This window comes from Homo sapiens, chromosome 17 (genome assembly GCF_000001405.40).
Source record: "Homo sapiens chromosome 17, GRCh38.p14 Primary Assembly".
NCBI classification, from domain to species: domain Eukaryota; kingdom Metazoa; phylum Chordata; class Mammalia; order Primates; family Hominidae; genus Homo; species Homo sapiens.
In genome coordinates, this window is record NC_000017.11 from 15,217,665 (window position 1) to 15,240,832 (window position 23,168).

General features: G+C 41.8%; 1 protein-coding gene and 1 pseudogene across 10 annotated transcripts in view; both read right to left on the reverse strand.

Annotated features, from left to right (window-relative positions):
* Positions 12,115-23,168, reverse strand: part of PMP22 (peripheral myelin protein 22) — a 35,548-nt gene continuing 24,494 nt past the window's right edge. For 7 of the 10 annotated variants that reach the window (NR_104018.2, NR_104017.2, NM_001281456.2 and 4 more), the window contains 2 exons: positions 21,807-21,947; positions 12,115-13,416 (listed from right to left, as the gene is read on the reverse strand). Coding sequence is in view for 8 of the 10 variants with exons in the window: in NM_001281456.2 (NP_001268385.1) it covers positions 13,253-13,416; positions 21,807-21,947 (305 nt within the window). In the remaining 2 variants the exon portion in view is untranslated. Of the gene's footprint in view, positions 14,950-17,554; positions 17,621-21,806; positions 21,948-23,168 lie in introns of those variants that run through there. The other 3 variants (NM_001330143.2, XM_024450806.2, XM_047436306.1) reach the window with 2 other exon arrangements.
* On the reverse strand, positions 20,121-20,217 carry LOC124904126 (uncharacterized; annotated as a pseudogene).

A 23,168-nucleotide genomic window follows, 5' to 3' on the forward strand; every position in this document is an offset into this window, starting at 1 on the left:
GAAATGGTGAATAAAGGGAAAAGAGGTGAGAAGACAGGAAAAGTTTATGACACTTTTCTATTTCATAGAAGTCTAAAAATTAAATAAATATGGGTTCAACAGCATTTAAAAATGCAATAACATAAAAAAACCAAGATATATGTCCTCCAAAACACTGAAAAAGAGATCACAGTAAAGGATACATAATTCATGCCCAAAGAGGGGATGTTAAAAGTAAAGGCATGCAACGGGGTGCAGTGGCTCACGCCTGTAATCGCAGCGCTTTGGGAGGCCGAGGCAGGCGGATTAAGAGGTCAGGAGACAGAGACCATCCTGGCCAACATGGTGAAACCCCATCTCTACTAAAATACAAAAAATTAGCTGGGCGTGGTGGTGCACACTTCTAGTCCCAGTTACTCGGGAGGCTGAGGCAGGAGAATTGCTTGAACCCGGGAGAGGGAGGTTGCAGTGAGCCGAGATATTGCCACTGCACTCCAGTGGGGCGACAAAGCAAGACTCCATCTCAAAAAAAAAAAAAAAAGAAGTCAAGGCATGCACAAAGGGATATTGCAGAAATGTAAACAAAAAGAAATGGAATGGCAATGTAATGTTCACACAAAGTAAAATCCAGTGCAATAAACATTGATTAGGACAAATAGGGCCATGTTACATTCTCAATTCAGACCAGGATAATTCAGACAGGGCTATAACCATAAAAATTCTTTATGCATAACTATCATAGTATCAATACTAATGAAGCAAGGAATTATTAGAATTCAAAGGAAGATTTGGCAAAGAATAATAAACTGAATATTCAAAGCAGGAAGGGAAAAGCAAGAAAAATAAAAGTGCTAATGAATTACAAAGACATACATGAAATTGATAAATATAATACTTTTTAATAAATTAAGAGAGAAAACCACTACCAAGACTAATCAAGAAAAAGAGAAAACACAAACGTGCAAAATTACAAACAAGAACATTGGTACAGGAGATTTAGAAGAACTGTCAGAAAAGCATATATAACTTTATGAAAACAAAATAGAAAATCTGAATAAAATGTACCATTTCCTAAAAAATATCTAAATTATCAAAATAAATTAGGAGTTCAAATGCTTAAATAGGACACAAATCGTGGGACAAAAGTTTGAGAAAGGTATCAAATTGACATCCTTTAGTTGATAGGATAGTTATCCGAGAGCCAAGAAGTTTCCACTGCTAAGTTCTATGAAATCATCAAGAAAACCAATAAGACCAATGTTACCTAAGCCCCTTAATCACACATACAAATGTGCACTTGTGTCATGTGACACCCTTAACATAACCCTAAAATTAAAACTCATTAAAGATAGAACACATAAAAATTTAAAAATCAATCTCATTGGCCGGGCGCAGTGGCTCACTCCTGTAATCCCAGGACTATGGGAGGCTAAGGTGGGCGGATCACCACGTCAGGAGATGGAGACCATCCTGGCTAACACGATGAAACCCTGTCTCTACTAAAAATACAAAAAAAAATTAGCCGGGCGTGGTGGCGGGCGCCTGTAGTCTCAGCCACTTGGGAGGCTGAGGCAGGAGAATGGCGTGAACCCAGGAGGAGGAGCTTGCAGTGAGCCGAGATAGCGCCACTGCACTCCAGCATGGGCGACAGAGCGAGACTCAGTCTCAAAAAAAAAAAAAAAAAAAAAAAAATCGATCTCATTTATGAACACCAAAAAAGCCATAATAAAATGCTAGCAAAAAAAGTCAACGTATTAAAAGAACGATGCACCAATAAGAAGGGGACTTTATTTCATTAACAAACCATTCAATGTTTAAAAAACTATTAATAGGATTTACCACAGTAATTGCTTAAAGGCAGAAAAATAAAACAGTCTTCCTGATAAAATCTGAAAAGATGGTAACATTTAATATAAATTATCGGTTAAAATCCCTGTTGAGAATCAAGAAATATTAGCACTAGCATTGCCATTAAATTCAGAAAAAGAGAAAGAAAACGATGTTCATTATCACATCTATTATTTGGCATGCTTTGGAAGGCAATAAAGAAAATTAAGAACTTTTAGGAAAGGCAGAAGAGGCATATTATCTCTTTTTTTTCTGCTTTTGCTCATGCTGTGATTATTTACTAACGTGAAAAGCTAAAATAATTAATTGGAAAAATATTAGGGAAACTCAAAAACACAGTTCAGTAAGGGAACCAAGTATACAACTGGTTTAGAAAATTCAACTGGTGACCAGGCACGGTGACTCATGCCTGTAATCCCAGCACTTTGGGAGGCTGAGGGTGGTGGATCACCTGACGTCAAGAGTTTGAGATCAACCTGGCCAACATGGTGAAACCCCATCTCTACTAAAAATACAAAAATTAGCTGGGCGTGGTGGTGGGCACCTGCAATCCCAGCTAACTCAGGAGGCTGAGGCAGGAGAATTGCTTGAATCCAGGAGGCAGAGGTTGCAGCGAGTGGAGATCAGGCCCCTGCACTCCAGCCTGGGTGACAGAGTGAGACTCCATCTCAAAAAAAATTTAAAAAAACTCAACTGGTTTCCAACATGCCCACAAGAACTGACAATAAGATATAGCGGAATAAAATCAATTCACGAAAGCCATAAGGTATGTGAATGCCTAGAAACAAGGTTAATATATATTAACATATTTATTAATGAAACTCACTAATATATATTCATCTTTATAATGAAAACAAAAACTTTAGTAAAGTATAAACAAAGAACTAAATAGAGTTATTCATACTATATACCTGCTTGGGAAGATATTAATTTTCCCCCAATTAATTTATAAGTTTAACCTAACTCTTTCAAAATAAAAACTGAATGTTTGTTTTTAAAATGGAAGGGCCTTCTTGTATAATAGCTTACAGCAGATAAATTCTTGCTGAGAACTACTGGAAAATCTGGGTGAAATACCAAAAACAAAACAAAATCTACTTAAAAGCATTGAGAGATACCAAAGCCATCAGGACCTGAGGGACTAGCAGGTTAGAGAAAAGGAAACCCACTGAAGTTAGCCCAACACTCTTTCCTGAACTTCCCCTTAAGGAATTTGCCAATTAATAAACAGACCAAGAGGTTGAAAAGTCCTGAAAGAAAATGCTAAGGGCAGAAAAACTAAGCAGAGTTTTCAGCACCCAAAAGCGTTAGGGAGACAAAATTGGACTTGTGGTCTGCTAAGGCATGAAGTGCATGAAGGGTACATGATTCTGGAAAGAGAAGAAAGGCAAAGGAGCAAGCCAGCCACCCTGGACAGCTATTTCCCTCCATGCATTTGCCATTCGGTGAACAACACACTCCCTGAAGTCTGAAAGCAGAGCAGAAAGCAGCTGCTAAGGGGGCAGTTTCTAATCAAAACTCCATTGCTGTAAATTCCTAAGACTGAAATATTTCTCAGAAGTGCCCAAGGATGGAAAATAAATGTCATCAAAACAATCCCCTGGGAAAACCCAAGATTGTGTTAGTGAAGAAATATGTTAACTGTTCATCTCCAATATCCTGTTTTGCTTCATCTTGCTCAGAAGGAATAAGAATCTCATCCCTTCAAAAATAAAAATAAAAAATAACCAAAACCACAAGAATAAAAGGTGTATTACTTTTTTTTTTTTTTTTTTTTTTTTTTTGAGACGGAGTCTCACTCTGTCGCCCAGGCTGGAGTGCAGTGGTGCGATCTCGGCTCACTGCAAGCTCCGCCTCCTGGTTTCACGCCATTCTCTTGCCTCAGTCTCCCAAGTAGCTGGGACTACAGGCGCCCGCCACCACGCCCGGCTAATTTTTCTGTATTTTTAGTAGAGACAGGGTTTCACCATGTCAGCCAGGATGGTCTCGATCTCCTGACCTCGTGATCCGCCCACCTCGGCCTCCCAAAGTGCTGGGATTACAAGTGTGAGCCACCGTGCCCGGCCAAGGTGTATTACTTTTTAAACTGAAAGAACAGACTTAATTAGAGAATTAGCAACAGCTGGAGCAAACAGCTGTTTCTTTTCTTTTTTAACATCTTTATTGAGATACAGTTCTCATACCATAAAATAGACCCAGTTACAGTGTACAATTCATTGGCTTTTAGTATATTCACATTTCTGTTTTTAAATTATACTTTAAGTTCTGGGATACATATGCAGAACGTGCAGGTTTGTTACATAGGTATATACGTGCCATGGTGGTGTGCTGCACCCATCAACCTGTCATCTACATTAGGTGTTTCTCCGAATGTGATCCCTCCCCTAGCCTCCTACCCCGCAAAGGGCCCTGGTATGTGATGTTCCCCTCCCTGTGTCCATGTGTTCTCATTGTTCAAGTCCCACTTATTAGTGAGAACATGTGGTGAGAACATGAGAACTAAACACCACATGTTCTTGTGTTAGTTTGCTGAGAATGATGCTTTCCAGCTTCATCCACGTCCCTGCAAAGGACATGAACTTGTCCTTTTTTATGGCTGCATAGTATTCCATGGTATATATGTGCCACATTTTCTTTATGCAGTCTATCATTGATAGGCATTTGGGTTGGTTCCAAGTCTTTGCTATTGTGAACAGTGCCACAATAAACATATCTTTATAGTAGAATGATTTATAATCCTTTGGGTATATACCCAGTAATGGGATTGCTGGGCCAAATGGTATTTCTGGTTCTAGACCCTTGAGGAATCGCCACACTGTCTTCCACAATGGTTGAACTAATTTACACTCCCACCAACAGTGTAAAAGCGTTCCTATTTCTCCACATCCTCTCCAGCATCTGTTGTTTCCTGACTTTTTAATGATCACCATTCTAACTGGCGTGAGATGGTATCTCATTGTGGTTTTGATTTGGATTTCTCTAATGACCAGTGATGATGAGCTTTTTTTCATGTTTGTTGGCTGCATGAATGTCTTCTTTTGAGAAGTGTCTGTTCATATCCTTTGCCCACTTTTTGATGGGGTTGTTTGTTTTCTTCTTGTAAATTTGTTTAAGTTCTTTGTAGATTCTGGATATTAGCCCTTTGTCAGATGGATAGACTGCAAAAATTTTCTCCCATTCTCTAGGTTGCCTGTTCACTCTGATGATAGTTTCTTTCACTGTGCAGAAGCTCTTTATTTTAATTAGACCCCGTTTGTCAATTTTGGCTTTTGTTGACATTGCTTTTGGTGTTTTAGTCACGAAGCCTTTGCCCATGCCTATGTCCTGAATGGTATTGTCTAGGTTTTCCTCTAGGGTTTTTATGGTTTTAGGTCTTATGTTTAAGTCTTTAATCCATCTTGAGTTAATTTTTATATAAGGTGTAAGGAAGGGGTTCAGTTTCAGTGTTTTGCATATGGCTAGCCAATTTTCCCAACACCATTTATTAAATAGGGAATCCTTTCCCCATTGCTTGTTTTTGTCAGGTTTGTCAAAGATCTGATGGTTGTAGATGAATGGCATTATTTCTGAGGCCTCTGTTCTGTTCCATTGGTCTATATATCTGTTTTGGTACCACTACCATGCTGTTTGTTATTGTAGCCTTGTAGTATAGTTTGAAGTTAGGTAGCGTGATGCCTCCAGCTTTGTTCTTTTTGCTTAGGATTGTCTTGGCTATGTGGGCTCTTTTTTGGTTCCATATGAAATTTAAAATAGTTTTTTCTAATTCTGTGAAGCAAGTCAATGGTAGCTTGATGGGGATAGCACTGAATCTACAAATTACTTTGGGCAGTATGGCCATTTTCACAATATTGATTCCTCCTATCCATCAGGCTTCTCTGCTGCAGGTCTGCTGGAGTTCACTGGAGGTCCACTCCAGACCCTGTTTGCCTGGGTCTCACCAGCGGAGGCTGCGTAACAGCAAAGATTGATGCCTATTCCTTCCTCTGGAAGCTTCGTCCCAGAGGGGCACCCACCAGATGCCAGCCAGAGCTCTCCTGTATGAGGTGTCCGTTGACCCCTGCTGGGAGGTGTCTCCCAGACAGGAGGCACGGGAATCAGGAACCCACTTGAGGAGGCAGTCTGTCCATTAGCAGAGCTCGAGTGCTGTGCTGAAAGATCTACTGCTCTCTTCAGAGGTGGCAGGCAGGAATGTTTAAATCTGAATCTGCTGAAGCTGTGTCCACAGCCACCCTTTCCCCCAGGTGCTCTGTTCCAGGGAGACAGGAGCCCTGACTGGGGCTGCTGCCTTTCTTTCAGAGATGCCCAGCCCAGAGAGGAGGAATCTAGAGAGACAGTCTGACTATAGCGGCTTTGCTGAGCTGCAGTGGGCTCTGCCCAGTTCGAACTTCCCAGCAGCTTTCTTTAGACTGTAAGAGGAAGACTGCCTACTCAAGCCTCAGTAATGGCTGATGCCCCTCCCCTAACCAAGCTCAAGCATCCCAGGTCAACTTCAGACTGCTGTGCTGGCAGTGAGAATTTCAAGCCAGTGGATCTTAGCTTGCTGGGCTGCTTGGGGGTGGGATCCACTGAGCTAGACCACTTGGCTTCCTGGCTTCAGCCCCTTTTCTGGGGGAGTGAAGGGTTCTGTCTCGCTGGCGTTCCAGGCACCACTGGGGTATGAGAAGAAACTCCTGCAGCTAGCTCAGTGTCTGCCCAAATAGCCACCCAGTTTTGTGCTCGAAACCCACGACCCTGGTGGCATAGGCACTGGAGGAAGACTCCTGGTCTGTGAGTTGCGAAGACCATGGGAAAAGCGTAGTATCTGGGCCAGCATGAACTGTTCCTCATGGCACAGTCCCTCACGGCTTCCCATGGCTAGGGAAGGGAGGTCCCCAGCCCCTTGCTCTTCCTAGATGAGGTGATGCCCCACCCTGCTTCTGCTTGCCCTCCGTGGGCTGCACCCACTGTCTAACTAGTCCCAATGAGATGAGACAGGTACCTCAGTTGGAAATGCAGAAATCACCTGCCTTCTGCATTGATCTCCCTGGGAGCTGCAGACCAGAGAACCTCCTATTTGGCCATCTTGCCAGCTGCTGTATATTCACATTTCTTAAAGGATGTGCAATCATCACCATGGTCAATTTGAAAACATATTCATCTTCTTAAAAGGAAATATCGTACCATTTAGCTAGTACAACCCGACATTCCCTTTCCAACTCCCTAGGCCTAAACAACCACTAATCTACTTTTTTTTCTCTATGGATATCTCTGTTCTGGGCATTTTGTATAAATGAAGTTACATAATATGTGGTCTTTTGCAATTGGCTTCTCTCATTTAGCTTAAAGTTTTCAAGGTGTGTCCGTGTTGTAGCACGTATCAGTAACTCATTCCTTTTTATAGACAAATAATATTCTAGCGTCATTCCTAGCATCAAATAATGTTCTAGTATATAGATATACCAAATTTTGTTTATCCATTCAACAGTTAATGGACATTTGGGTTGCATTGTAAATAAATGCTGTTATAATGCTGCATATCCATGAATTTCTGTAATACTATATTAGATAAATCACCTTTCATTAATATAATAATGCTGATTATCTGTGTATGAATTTCTGTGTGGACATATGCGTTCATTTCTCTTTGGTACTAACCTAGGAGAGGAATTGCTGGGTCACATGGTAACTCTATGTTTAATCTTTTGAGGAACTGTCAGAATGTTTTCCAAAGCAGTAGCACCATTCACATTCCCAACAGCAGTGTAGGAGGGTTCCAATTTCTCCATATCCAATGTGTGTTATTATCAGTCTTTTTTATTCTGGCCAACGTGGGTGTAAAGCAATATCTCATGGTTTTGATTTGCATTTCTCTGGTGACTAATGAGACAGAGTATCTACTCCTGTGCTTATTGGCCATTCTTATATCTTCCTTGGACAAATGCCTTTTCAAGGCCTTTGCCCACTTTTTATTGGAATAATTATCTTTTCATTGAGATGTAAGGGTTTATTACTTATTCTGGACACAAGGCTCTTATCAGCCACATGCTTTGCAAATATTTTCTTCTATGTGATGTATTGTCTTTTCACTTTATTGATGGTGTTCTTTGAAGCACAACAATTTTGAATTTTGTTGAAATCCAACTTACCAACTTTTTTGTTGCCTATGCTTTTGGTGCTATATCTAAAAATCCTTTGCCAAATACAAGGTCATGAAGGTTTACCCGTAAGTTTTCTTCTAAGAGTTTTATAGTTTTAGCTCTTACATTTTGGTCTTTGTTCCATTTTGAGTTAATTTTTGTATATGGTGTTAGATAAGGGTCCAACATCATTCTTCTGCTTATGGATTTTCACTTGTCCCAGCACCATTTGTTGAAAAGCCTATTCTTTTCTCATTGAATGATCTTGACACCCTTGTCAAAAATCAGCTGACTTTAGATATGTGGGTTTATGTCTAGACTCTCAATCCTATTCCACTGATTTATGCATATATTTTTGTGCCAATACCACACTGTCTTGATTACCATTGTTGGATAGTAAGTTTTGAAATCAAGACAGTTGAATCCTGCTACATTGTTCCATTGTTCTTCTTTTTCAAAATTGTTTTGGTTATTCTCGTTCTCTTGCAATTCCATTTGAATTTTATAATTGGCTTAACAATTTCTATAAAGAAGTCTGCTGAGATTCTATTGGGGATTGCATTCAATCTGAAAACAGGGTGGGAGCATTACCATCTTAACAATGTGAAGCTTTCCAACCCATGAACCTGGAATGGCTTTCCTCGTATTTAGACCTTTTTAAATGTCTTTCAATAATATTTTATAATTTTCACAGTATAAGTTTTGCAGTTCTTTAAATTTTTTTCTATTTATTTTATCCTTTTTGATGCTATTATAAGTAGAATTGTTTTCTTAATTTAATTTTTAAATTTTTAATTGCATTTGAATTTTAGAATCAGCTCACCAAATATAATTGATTTTTGTATATTAATTCTTGCTGAATTTCTTTACTAGTTCTAATAGGCTTTTAGTGGATTCCTTAGGATTTTCTATATACAAGGTGATATCATCTATGAATAGATATAGTTTTTATGTTCTTTTCAAATCTGGATGCCTTGTATTTCTTTTTCTTGCCTAATTGTACTGGATGGAACATCCTGTATAATGTTAAATAGAGGTGTTGAGAGCAGACGTCCTTGTCTTGTTCCTGATCTTAGAGAGGAAGCATCTAATATTTCACTAGTAAATATGATGCTAGGTATGGATTTTTCATAGTTGTCTTTTATCAGGTTGAGGGAGTTCCCCTTCATCACTAGTCTGCTGAGTGTTTTTATCATGAAAGGATATTGGATTTTGTCAAATGTGTTTTCGATTCTAATGGCTATTATTTGGTGAAGAATTTTTGAATTCATATTCATAAGAAATATTGGTCTGTAGTTTTTATTTCTTGTGATATCTTTGGTTTTGGTATCAAGGGAACACCGGCTTCATAAGAAGAGGCCAGTGTTACCTACCTTACTTTTCTATTTTTTAGAGGAGTTTGTTAAGAATTGGTATTAATTCTTCTTTAAATATTTGGTAGAACTCAGTAGTGAAGCCATTTGGGCCTGGGCTTTTTTGTTTGTGAATAATTTATTAGTAGTAGTATTAATAGATCAATCTCTTCACTCATTATAGGCCTATTCTTATTATCTATTTCATATTGAGTCAGTTTCAGTAATTGTGTCTGGGGAATTTGTCCATTTCATCTAAGGTGCCTAATTTGTTGTATACAATTGTTCATAGCATTTCTTTGTAATTTTTTGTTGTTGTTTGTGTAGGGTCAGTATAATGTCCCTTCTATCATTACAGATCCTCAAGGCAGACAAGTTCCCAAGGAAGCGAAGCTGTCCCCATAGATGAGAGATCAATAACAATCATGACCCAAGGAACTGATAGCAGATAAGTTGTTTTTACTCAAGTGTTTTATTCTAACCCTTCTCTGTTTGGGGGGACTCCATGAGTTCCATGTAGAATGTAAGGCTCCACTGTCAACTGAGTTGGTGTAATTTTCCTGGAGACTAAGCTGAAAATACCTATTAGATTCTTCAAAATATACACACCCTCTGTTTTGGCAACATCCTTACCAGAAATTTAAGATTTGGATATACTTTTTAAAAGTCACCAATATTCATGTACAAGGATGTCCACAGAAATATTTTGATTAATAATAAAAAGTAGACACAACCAAAATATCTATCAATGGAGGGCTGGTAAATAAAGGTTTGTACAACAATACAATAAAATACTATGCAGAATTTTGAAAGAATAAAATAGTGTTCACTAAAAAGCATGAGGTATATGCTGGTATAGAATGGTATAGAATGATCTCAAATTTTTATCATTAAATGAAAAGGTGCAGAAGTGAGTAGTATGATCACTTTTGTGTACGTTTAAAAAATACATAGATGGATGTACATATGTGGGCAATTTTCTTTCCTGGAAGAAGTCATAAGAAACTATGTCTTACGGTTACCTTTGGCAAAAGACTATGGGTAGGTGGGAAAGAGGCTTTCAGATTGTATTTTTCCCTCTAGATACAAGATAGGATGTTATAATCCTAGATATATGGTTTTTTTTTAAATGCCAAGAGTGTTACCTGGGTAGGGAGATTTAGGGGCCGTTTTTGCTTTTCTTCTTTATTCTTATCCCTATTAATTTTTAATGAAATGTTAGAAAAGTTTATGAAATAAAAGTGTATGTTTTCAAAGTACCAGCTCGTGAAATAAAATTCCTAGTTTTCTTAATCTCACATGCATCTCATGGCCACCTGTGCCACCTTAAAACTATCTGAGTCAAAAGCAGAGTAGCAGTCACTACTGAAAACCTCAGAAAAGAGAAGTCCTTCCGTCACAGACACCCAAGGACAGAAGAGCACAAGGTACCTGAAGGTGGCTTTATGCTAGGCCCTTGCTACTCAAAGTGTGGTCGGTGGACAAGCAGCATCCACCTCACCCAGGCACTAATTGGAAATGCAGAATCTCAATCCCCACCTGGGCCTAAAGTTTCAGAATCTGCATGCTATCAGATTCCCAGGTGATTCACTAGCATGTTGAAGTATGAGACCTCCTGCACTAGCTCAGAGGTGTCATCCCCAGTTGCATGCTGTAATCACCAGAAGTGTTCTTTAAACCATGATGGGTGGGTCCCATCATGGAAACAGGGAATCCAAATCTCTAATGGGAATTCCTGCATGGGAGATTCCAGTGTGCAGACTGATACTGAGAATCCTGCATAACAGTCAATGTCTCTCCTACATGCTCTTTCAAATATACCTCTGTTGTAACATATGTGATAACCACTCTAATCTATAGAGTCTTTCTAGGTACTAGTCACTATGCTGAACACTTTATCCATATAACTTCCTTGAAATCCCCTCAGCCCTATACCCTTGTTATTGGCATCCCCATTTTATAGATGAGAAAACTGAATCTTAGTGTTTACGTAACCTTTTCAGGCCCCTATGGCTGGTAAGCAGCAAAGGACAGGCTCAAACCCAGGCTCTCATTTCTATGCTCTTAACCTTATTATAATATAGTCACTTGTTTACTTGTACCTCTCACTAAAATGTGACCTTTCGATGTTAAGATATATGTCATTACTTCTTTATCTTTGGTACCCAATTCAAAATAGTTGCACAATAAATATTAAGGACTATCAACCACATCATTTGCTTGTTATTTTGCAGACACACAACAAAAGGTCGACGGGTAAAAATATGGACGCATGAGACACAACTCAGAAACCCTGAGCTGGGTGACAATGGTGGCCTTTTCTCTCCTTCAGGATGGCATTAGGAGCTTAGTTGGTGCCAACCAATGTTTTATCTGCAAGTGTGGCCTCAAGTCACCATCATTCAGACCTTTCACCATATCATACCTCAGGGTGAGGGATCTGAGATGCTTCTGCCAACATTCCCAGTATATCAGGGCAGCTCATGACATGCCTCCATGTTTTCCATGTGGGTCATCAAACAACAGAGCACCAGAGAGGGTTGAACTAAATGAATACTCAAGTGCCTTCCAGTCCATTTACAGCCTCCATTTCAGCTGCAATTCCCAACTGTCTCCAATTAGCAAACCTTTGCACAGACATCATGAAGGCATCATGTGCTCCCTGTAGCTTGTAAAACAGCTATGATTTTGGTGCCTTAGCACCATCTTGTAACCCAAATCTCCAGCTCAACTTTGCTTTCCACTGAAGCTCTTCATCCTGCTCCAACAGGCACCTTGTACCCACACCCAAGTTCCCACAAAAACTCAAGAGAGACCAGTGAGTTACTCTGATGTTTATTTTAATGCATCTTAGTCCACACAGTTGGTATAAAATCAGAAAATGCAAAGCAAAAACAAAAGGTCTGGAGTCTTAGCATCAGAAGGGCACCATATATACATCTACAGTTGGTGGCCAATACAAGTCATTGCCAGACAGTCCTTGGAGGCACAGAACAGCCTAGACCCAGCCAAGCTCTAGGAACTCACGGTCCCAAGGAGTCTAGACGCTTGTTCTGATGCTCCGACCGTAAGAAAAATGTGGGAGTGATGAAGGCTTTATGATTTACTCATTATAGTAATAATAGCAGCCTAGCTAGGTACAAAAGCAGTTATAAACCATTTATATTACACAGAATTATTCAGGTCTCCATTCTATCTTATGTTGTAAAATTGTTAATTGGATTTCCAGTGAGTTGTTTAGATGATTAGTGATAATAAGGAATGGTAAATCCATAGCACCATTTCAAAGACTTGTTGTCACTGATTTCTCATTTAGATGTGTGACGAAGATACTCCACCTGTAAGGGCAAGTATGCCAATGCCACAAGCCGTGTTTTTGCAAGGGCTCCAGTTTGGGCATTTTGTCCGTGTGCGCGTAAAGCTTCACACAGAGGTTCGGGCAGCGGCTGTTTCTGTTGGATGCACTGGGTCACCCACCAGAAAAGGGCTTTTGGACATTTGGGGTTTCTACCCACACTTTGGTTTTCTAAATGAGGTGGACTGGGAGGGAGGTATCTTCTTTCAGATGAAAGGGAAGGGGCGAGATGGAGTTATCTTATTTCTGGGTAAAACAAAACAAACAAACAAAAAACAAAACAAAAATACTGAGCTGGATTATACTGTTAGGATGTAAAGTTCCTTAGCTACTTCTTTAAGGCTCAACACGAGGCTGATGGTCAACATAAAAAGCAAACAATACTATGTACATATATGTAAAAAGTGTTATAAATAGGTTTTATAAACCGGAGATATTATATACATCTTCAATCAACAGCAACCCCCACCTCCACTGCTTTCTGTTTGGTTTGGTTTGAGTTTGGGATTTTGGGCTAGCTCTTTTTTCTTTGTCTGCTTTCTGTTTTCCCTTCCTCCCTTCCCTATGTACGCTCAGAGCCTCAGACAGACCGTCTGGGCGCCTCATTCGCGTTTCCGCAAGATCACATAGATGACACCGCTGAGAAGGGCCAGGGGGAAGGCCACCCAGGCCAGGATGTAGGCGAAACCGTAGGAGTAATCCGAGTTGAGATGCCACTCCGGGTGCCTCACCGTGTAGATGGCCGCAGCACTCATCACGCACAGACCTGGGGAAGGAGAGGGACAAGCTGGGTGACGGAGAGTCCATGGCAGAGCGGCCCCCTCTCCGCCACCCCGGATGCTGACAATTGCTGGGTAGGAAGAACATTTCTACCTCTGGAAGGAAATCTGCTTCCAGGTCCAGAATTGAAAGGAGGTAGCACAAAAATATGGGAACAAGGAAAACAACTTGCTCTCTATTTCCAATCTTGGCCACCTAGGCCTTAATACCTGAGGGTTTTCTTTACATTTTCTGCCCTATTTCTCTTTCTTTCACTGTCACCAATTCCCAGGCCACACTACATGGCCAGCAGGCATTCAGGCTGCAAGAAAAACCTACCTGTCTCTTTCCAAGGGTGGTTGGGTATGGAAACCCCTGGAAATCTATATGCCACTCTACAAGTGAGTGGTGGCATTACCTAAAGCCAATGGAAGTGAAGTGACATTTTACCATTATTGGAGTCACGCCATGGTAAAAGGATTAAGCTCCATGCAGACCACAGGGGCCTATGGTCCCCCTAACAGAGTTGCCACATACCAGGTGAAGCAAGCAATGCCTATGGGCACTGCCAAACAGACAAAGAAATGTGTGGAGAGGGAAAAAGAAAGTGAGGAATAAGGATGCAGCCGACAGTATGACTGGGAAGCCACGCTGCAGAGGGGGAAGATGATCAAAGGCAAGCTCCATTTCCCTGGGTGCCCCAAGGTTGCATTTGAAGCCCAAAGAAGGCTAAAGGGCACTGGATATGCAGGTGGGTCAGGCCACCCTCCCTGGCCCACCAATGCAGCCCTTCGGTGTTGGAAAGAGAAGAAAAGCCTCCATCTTGGGCCCTGTGGAGCAGCCACGCTCAAACTGATGGCCCCAGCTCACGTGACAGACAGCGTCCCCCCACAAGGAGGGGTCCAGTGATGTCAGCACCCCAGCCTGGAGCTGCACAAAGCCTGGTCTGTTTCCTCCCTGAAAACAGGGTCTTTGAGAAGCTCTGAGTGACTCTATTATAAATCCAGTATGCCGTGTGGGATTCATGCAGTTCCAGAGTTCCCAATGCACCCGCGCCCCCCCACCGCCCGGCCACCTACATCTAACCTCACTGCTATTTGGGCTGCTGTTTTACTGGACACTGCAACTTTGTTTGAAGACAGTGCAGAAGTGGGAATACGCCACATGAACCACCCTGTTAAGCCTGTCCTCCTGCAACTCAGAGGAGAAAACTGCCACTTGACTGGCCCCTGTCAAGAGAGCCACACAATAGTCTTGGAACCAAAATGGGACAGCATCCAGGACCTGCCACCTACAGGAAGTTCAGAAGACAGCAAAGATGGCCATGTCAGGAGCGAAATCATTGCGGGTTAATTGTTGATTGCAGAAAACAGCAGTTTTGATCTGCTGGGGACACACTTTATTTGCCTTGAGGTCCAGGATCCTTAATTATCTTGCCCCACTCTTCCACGGCTTGCATCTCCAAAGTGCTAACTCTTGTCTTTAAGAAATACTGAAGTTGTCTCTTGGGCTCTGTCTGACTTATCTAATGAAGGCAGGGCTATAAAAAAGGAAACATGACCTTGGCAGAGAGAAAGGTGTTAACAGAGTGCTAGCAGGGCAGGACAACACTTATCATCATGCAGGCAGGGCTCCCAAATGGGCTGTCTAACCAGATCTGGCATGAGAAATGCCTCAGGAGCTGAGTGGACCAGCTACTCCCCGATTTCACTGACTAAGAGGAGATACCAGATTCCATCCTTGAACAAGAGGGATAGAAAGAGGCAGTATAGAGAAGTGCAGCGACTAACTACACAGCTTAATGTGTATGACTTTCATCTTAGTAGAATCTCAGAAGTGAATGACTCTAAGCTTAACCGTGATAAGCAGTAAACTTAGATATCTACAAAGCCAAAGAGAGGATACACACTTTATATGATTGTTGTCATGAGACTGATGTTTTAGGGAATATATTATTACAAGATTGTCTGCATGTAAAGCAATAGATGTACCCTGAAATAGAGAAAAGGATGATTCTTTGGCTGGGTTCCCTCTGTCTGCAACCCAAGACAGTTAATGTCATCCAGTAGTCATCTCCAAAAGCCAAATACCCCTAGTAAGTGGACTGTGACTCACTTTCTCAGCAACCAGTAGGTGGAGATGTATCACCAGGTCCCTGTGGCAAGGGTAAGTGAGGCCCTGAGGCACAGGCAGATGTTCTGCTCTTTGGCAATGACCGGGACTCCCTGGTAGGGGCCTGAGTCTGGGAGCATAGGTCATCTTTAAGCAGAAGGACACTGACCCTGTCCAGACAATACAAATGTGCTGAGCATTCAACTTACAAGAGTTTCTCCCTGTCTCAGGATGGGTAGGTCTGCAACAACTTCCTGCAAGTTCTGCCTAAAGCCCTTTTGAAGAGAAAGTCTTAAGCTCCTTTAACAGTGACTGCAACCCCATGAGAGTGATTAGAGCCCAGAGCCTCTGGAAGGAAGCACCCAAGGGGCCAAGGTCAAAGGAAGTAGCTGAGGGAATTCCCAGTACATCCTTATCATCTCCATTCCCTTTGGTTCAGTGAACATTTAATGAGTGCCTATTGCATGCGGGCCCTGTTCTAGCTGCTGCTCTAGATGTACCAAGATAAGTGAGACATGGCTCCTACCTTAAGGACTGTGTGTCTAGAAGACAGACATTTGCATATAATTTCAATATAGTTCGATGGAATTTCGAGAGAGGGAAGGAAATGCACCAGATGCCCCAAGAGCATAGACGGGCGCTGAGTCCAAACTGGAGAACTGGAGAAGCCACACGGACTCTCATATAATAGGCTGATTAGCTCACTAAGGGTCAGGAAAGAGAGGGCCTTACATGACATGTTAAGGAAGCTGTGATGAGAAGCCTCTGAGGAAACTTCAGCAGAGGAGAAACATGATCAGACGCACGTTTTAGAATGATCACTCTGGCCATGGTGCAGAAAATGGATTCAGGGGCAGGGACAAGGCAGGTAGCTGGAAGGTGCATGAGGAGGCCTTTGCATAGCTGCACTGGGGTTAGTGAGTCAAGACAAAGAAATGGGCGTAATGCCTACGGAGGATGCTACCCAAATGCAGGATTCAGTAGAAGGCTGGCTGTGGGGTGAGGGAGAGAGGAGAGGCCAGCATGACCGCCTGGTGTGTTCACTCAGGCAAGTGGGAACACAGCGATGTCTCAGAAGCCAGGGGAATAGAGCTTCAAAGAGTAAGTAGCTAACAGTATTGAAAGGAGCAGAGTGATCCAACAAATTAAAGACTTCAAAGTGTACTTTGGTAACCTCGCAAAAGCACTTTCATTTGAGAGCCTGGGGCAGAAGTCAGAGAGAAGTTGGCTGGAAAGGGATGTCAGTGAGACCACCAGGGTGGTCACTGGAAGGTGCAGCTATGATGTTGGGTTGATGAGTGGGTGCCTTTTTCTCCCTCCCACTTCATCCTCAGGGCAACAAGGGAGGGCAGGAAGGGGCTGTGAGGCCTGTTCCTCTGAAAGCAAGAGACTTCTCTGTGTTTCTGTGATTGAAGCCCACTCCTTTTACATTTTCAGTATCCAAATGACCATTGCTGCCTAGAAAGCCACCCATAGCATTGACTCTGATTTGGGCATGGCCAGTGAGACATCCATAATCATCCGTCCCTAACAAAAATTTCTAAATGTGGTATTTGACTTAAGCCACCTTTGAATCACTCTGAACAGGATGGCACTGAACTTTTATTAATCCCCCCCCACCAAATTCTTTTTTTTTTTTTCCTAGAGAGGCAGGGTCTCACTCTGTCACCAGGCTGGAGCAAGTGCAGGGGCCTGATCATAGTTCACTGTAGTCTTGACCTCTCAGCCTCAAGCAATCCTCCTGCCTCAGCCTCCTGAATAGCTGGGACCACAGGCGTGCTCCAAGGCACCCCACTAATTTTTAAATCATTTTTTGTAGAGATGGCATCTCGCTTTGTTGCCCAGGCTGGTCTTGAACTCCTGGCTTTAAGCAATCCTCTCACCTCAGTCTTTCAAAGTGTTGGGATTACAGGCATTCGCCACCACACCTGGCCCAAATCCTTTTATTTTAAATGCTCTATAGCTATATTGATCTTTCTATTAACAAAACAAATGAACAACAATAACAAAAAGAGAGAGAAAGTGAAACTCACTCAGGAGTCCCCTCTATTCTTTCTGTTCTTAATCCCGGTAACCACACATTTGACTTGAGTTTGATTCTGCCGAGGAAACACAATTATCTAATCATCCAACCAATAATAGTTTTATTCAGGCTCCTCTATGTGCCCCACATGGAGCTTGATGCTGGGTGTAAGCAGTAAAATAAATCAAAACGTGCAAATCTTCCTTTTAGGTCTGTGTCTAGATTAATTTCTTGATGTTTTCCAGTCTAGTGCAACCCAACCCAACAGATCTTGTCAAGGAATAGATGGCTATAGGTTCTGAAAATAAGAATGACTCCAAAGTCCAGACGCAGGATCAGGATGTTCCTTCTCTAAGAAGGTGGTTTAGTTATTTCTGGGAAAATATCCTAGAAAACCTTACAGTGGGATTAGGGACAGTTTAATGGCTATGTCAGTGGTTCCCAACCCTAAATGCACATCAGAGTCACCTAGGCAGTGGATCCATCCCACAACTATTAAATGAGAGTCTCCAGGGATGAGACCTGAATACTGTCTTTTTTCTTTTCTTTTTTCTTTTTTTTTGAGACAGTCTTACTCTGTCACCCCCAGGCTGGAGTGCAGTGGCATGATCTTGGCTCACTGCAACCTCCACCTCCTAGGTTCAAGTGATTCTTCTCTGCCTCAGTTTCCCAAGTAGCTGGGACTACAGGCACGCACCACCACGCCTGGCTATTTTTTTATTTTTATTTTTAGTAGAGACAGGGTTTCACCATGTTGGCCGGGCTGGTCTTGAACTCCTGACCTCAAGTGATCTGCCCACCTCAGCCTCCCAAAGTGCTGGGATTACAGGCGTGAGCCACTGCGCCCCGCCCACTGTCTTTTTTTTTTTTTTAAAGGACCTCAGGTGATTCTGATGCACAGCTCAGGTTGAAAGCACTGAACTAAAGGAAGGAGCCTTTTGATATGCATTCAGGAAGCAGCCAACCTAATGCAATCAAGAAGAGATAGTTCCTAACTGTCAGCCTTGTGGCTAAGTGAGGAAGAGATAATTTGGCAAACCATGGAGACCCCACACAACACACAGAGCTGTAATCTAGAGCAAGGAGACAGACAACTCCCAAACCTACAGTCAGCTCCAAGAGCCCTAGCACCTTTCATGTGCTTTTCCTGAAAGCTGATGTGTGCCATCCATAAAGATCACAGCTGGGCCCACCAAGAGGAAGCTGTGCAGAGATAATGCAGCCCTCACAGCCACTTCCGGAGACTACACAGAGATTCTAGTGGTTTCCACTTAAAACGCTCCAGTGCATTGGAGAGGCATTTGCCGGGCATGCACGCTTGTAGATTTCACATCCCATGAGTGTGGAGCTACTTTCTTCTACCTTCTGTTTGTCAGTTTTAGCTTTTCTGACTACTTCCTTGATGTTAAGTTGTCACTTGCCAGGTTTTCCCAAAACGTGGGTTTCTCATCTCCAACAACCCTAATCTACTTAGCTCTCTAATTACTAACTTCTTACTAGTCTGTGAGTCAGAAAACCACATGACAAAATTGACTTAGAACTGTCACACGATAAGGGAACCAGGAACTCTCCAAATAGAGTTCCTAACTCTTTCAGTTCTCAGAATTAGTGGAAAGATCCTGCAGCCATTTCCAGTGCAACATCCTAGAGATCTGAGGTTCCCTGGAGACCAACTCTCAGATGATCTTGACTGGGATTAACAACGGAGGACAGGACACTCTCAGGACTTACAAATTACAACTGCTATTACAGCTCAGCATTTCAAATTCAAGATAATTTCTTATTCAAATGTGGACCAACAGATAACTGAAAATTCAGTTTCATGAGACGTAAGCAGCTAGATGTAAAGGGGATAAAGAGGACAAAGTCATGCGCTTTTACATTCGGAATTCTGCACTTCCAGCACAGTTCTAAACATCTTGTATTGACTTTGGAGGAGAATGAAAATAGTGAAGCAAGAGTGGATTAGTAAATATACTTAAATCGCAATACCTAGGAGAAGAGTGTTTGGCTGAACTGAAATACTTTTAACACACAGTGCAGTTACATGAGTGACTTAAGGGTTCTTATCTCTGGACTTTGAGTTTTGGCCTAAAATGATGTAATGATGTTGCTAAAAAGACATTGTTAAAGAACTTAAAGCCGAAACAGCTCAGCAGGATGAATGAAGATGAAGGTACTGGCTATCCCAAGGAGCCCATTCAACAGCAGCTTACCTCTTCTCAGCTCCATATTTTCAATGTGACTGGGTCTTATAGTACAGGCTTGTATTCATCACAGATGTTTGGAACTTCAGAATAATACATGGTGCAAATTTGCATTTACCTTCCATTGTAAATCAGTTCCAATAAAAGATAATATAAAAGGCAGAGCTTCTGCCTTGGATTTTGTGTTCTTTAAATTTTTTGGTGCATTCTGTCTTTAAAATATAAGAAGTACCTCACTATATTCAGTGTAACACTCAACCGTCCCTGTCATGAGCTGGGTGACCTTGGTCATTCATTTATCCTCTGGTGGGCTCAAATTATTCATCAGTAAAATAACGAGCCTGTACAAATAAAATGTAATTTTTTTCACATCAGATGGGTAACGTGCCAAATCATAACAAGGTTTGAGCGAGGCACATCTCACACATGGGCATGAAAACCCAATCATCGCTTATGAAACTAACATTTCAATAGAAATACATTATGAAAGTTCTGGTTCTAAATCCATATTATCTTGAGGGCATATCCACTGATGCAATGGATATGATCATTATTTGATTTGATATCAAACTAAAACGAGTGAGAAAAAAAAAAAGAAACCCCAGAATATGTTACAGTTGTTTTTATTCCAACTGAAAATTGAGTAAGGGTAACTCTTCACTTTAACGTACCTAGAAATGATATCTCCTTGCATAATTAGTCATTTAACAGAGCCAGCAACCATCCAGGAGCTTGGCTTGGTGTCATAAGACATGTGTAAGTAGCAAAGCACTGTCTGGTTTTGAAATCTCAAAACCATGAGTATTGAAATGTTGTATTTGAGTGTTTAATGAGAAGTGGTTAATCATTTACTTCCTTTTTTCAGGAAAGGGGAACTCTCTGTCTTCTAGACAAGGTCACCAACATCTAACCTTGGGCTGTGTCTTCCCATACAACCCTATTTACGTCAACCTTCCAATGACTGCTCCTGGGGACAGAGTGGTGAAATGGTACCATGGGCATTCTGACAACCAACTCAGAGAAGAGATGCTACATCCTTTGCCCTCTCAGAGGGTCAGAATTGAGAACATCTCCCAGTACCTAGACATACTCTGGTACATATGAAGTTTGTGATCTATGAATTTGGACCACAGAATCCACCACTACATCTAGCTCTTACTTCTCTCCAATGCCCTGCTGGTTCAGTCAACAGTAAGTCAACAGACAGACATGTAAGAGCTAATGTAAGATGCTAGGCAGAATGCAAGATGTAAGATGTAAGATGTAAGATGTAAGCATGTAAGATGCTAGGCAGAATCCAGAGACAAAGTTGGAAGATGTCACCCTGTGTAACAGAAGTTTCTAGGACTCTGCACACTATGCATATTAATAACGTATTTAAAGAGGGAACTTGAAGACAGTTTAGGCAGGAGATTAAGGAGACCTCTCATGTGTTTTCATGTGTTGTCATAGCCCCATGTTTGGAAATGACAATATGTGACACAAGAGTGTCAAAATGAAGACACCAGAGGATGACAACAGTCAATCAAAGCCCAGTAGAATCTAGGAACTGGAAGCAAGGAAGGTGAGAATTTGTCAGTGTGGCTTCATCACTACCTATTGGTGGAAGACACATACCTGATAACTACTTTGCTAGTTCTTAGCACATCAGGGCCATTTTCTGGAGGCATAATGTAATCTACAGAAACAGCTCTCAAGCCTGACCTTTGCTCTACAGATAGCCTCAGTATTCACCTCTGATTATGTGTCCAGATTGCAGTTTCATTCCTGTTGATACGCCTGGCTTGGGTGGGGACCTTCCTTCCAGATCCTCTAAGTTCTCTTTCATATGCATCTCATTCCAGGGAGAAGGGGAGAGTTCTAAGTCCCAAGTTCTAAGACACATACAGGTACACACCCACACATACAAGCACCCACCCTCACTTTATGGAAAGCATCCAGTGGGGAGACTCATGAACATCAGTCATTCTGAGGCCACATCCTTCTACTAAACTAATCATTCCGCAGACTTGGATGCACCCCGCTTCCACATGGACTTTACCATCCACAACTTACCAGCAAGAATTTGGAAGATTCCAGTGATGTAAAACCTGCCCCCCTTGGTGAGGGTGAAGAGTTGGCAGAAGAACAGGAACAGAGACAGAATGCTGAAGATGATCGACAGGATCATGGTGGCCTGGACAGACTGCAGCCATTCTGGGGGAAAGAGACACTTGGTTAGGAGAGCTGGCCATGGCCGGGGGAGGGCTCTGCCTCGAGGTGCAGGGCCTGAAGGGCCATGACTGCTGACAGCACAGTCCTCACAGGCAGCAGAAGCAGAAGTCCTTTTTCCTTAGCAGAACTCAGACAATTCACTTTTGCAATCTAAGAAGACATTCTTTATTGTTTATTTTGGAGGAAAAAATATATACATATATACATACATCTATATGTACTGATATATACATATACAAACACACACATGTGCCAATATGTACACATTACATACATATATACCTATATGTACAAATATGCATACAAATATGTACGTGTTTCTATATATATGTGTATATACACATATACAAATACGTGACACACACATATATATAAAAAACACATGTGAACATTCAGGGAAGGGCTGTAAAAAAATATCTATAGTTCCATCACTAGGAGTTAAAGTCATTTTAAAATATATTGAATTTCCTTCCAGTGTTGGTGCAAATGTGTTACTTATGTACATGTGTCTGTGTTAAAGAGGGCCTGAGCCCTGCCTACTACCTTCCCTCTTCTTGCCCTCAGGGGTCTTTGAAGGGCTTATCAGAACTTCTGTATTCCAAGAAAAATAGCTTAAAACCACTATTCAAATTATCTGCATTCCCCAAGGAGAGGTAAAGATCACGGGAATGGCTGTTAGAGCCCAAAGTAATTTTTTGGAAGAATGGAAGAAAATACTGATGAAGAAAGGTATGCTCTCTATAGGTATGGAAATCAATTTGCTTGGACAACCCGTATTTTTTTTTTTTTTTTTTTTTGGTCAACTCTGATCATGGCCATTAGCCTCAGCACAGAGCGGTGTGTGATCGCCAACCACCAGACGGGATGAAGGCTTACACTTCCTTATCTCTGTTGAACCCCAAATCTCCAAGCTTCCAACTGAAATTCAGGCAAGAAGACAGAGCCTCCTATGGTTTCTTCAGTTCACCATCCGCTGCAAACTCATGTCATTTCAGGGAGGAAAGAAGAAACAACCTGAGTTCCACACTGTAGAGGGAAGCCCAGGGTAAAAATCTGCATTTGGCCTCTGTCTTGTCTTCCAAGTGCCACAGAATGCTGGGGGCAGGCACTGCTCTCATGGAGGAAGGGCAACTGGGGAAGCTGCAGCATTTAATCCTTTCAGCTCAGTAACTGCCATATGTAATGGCTTCAAAAGCATACCTT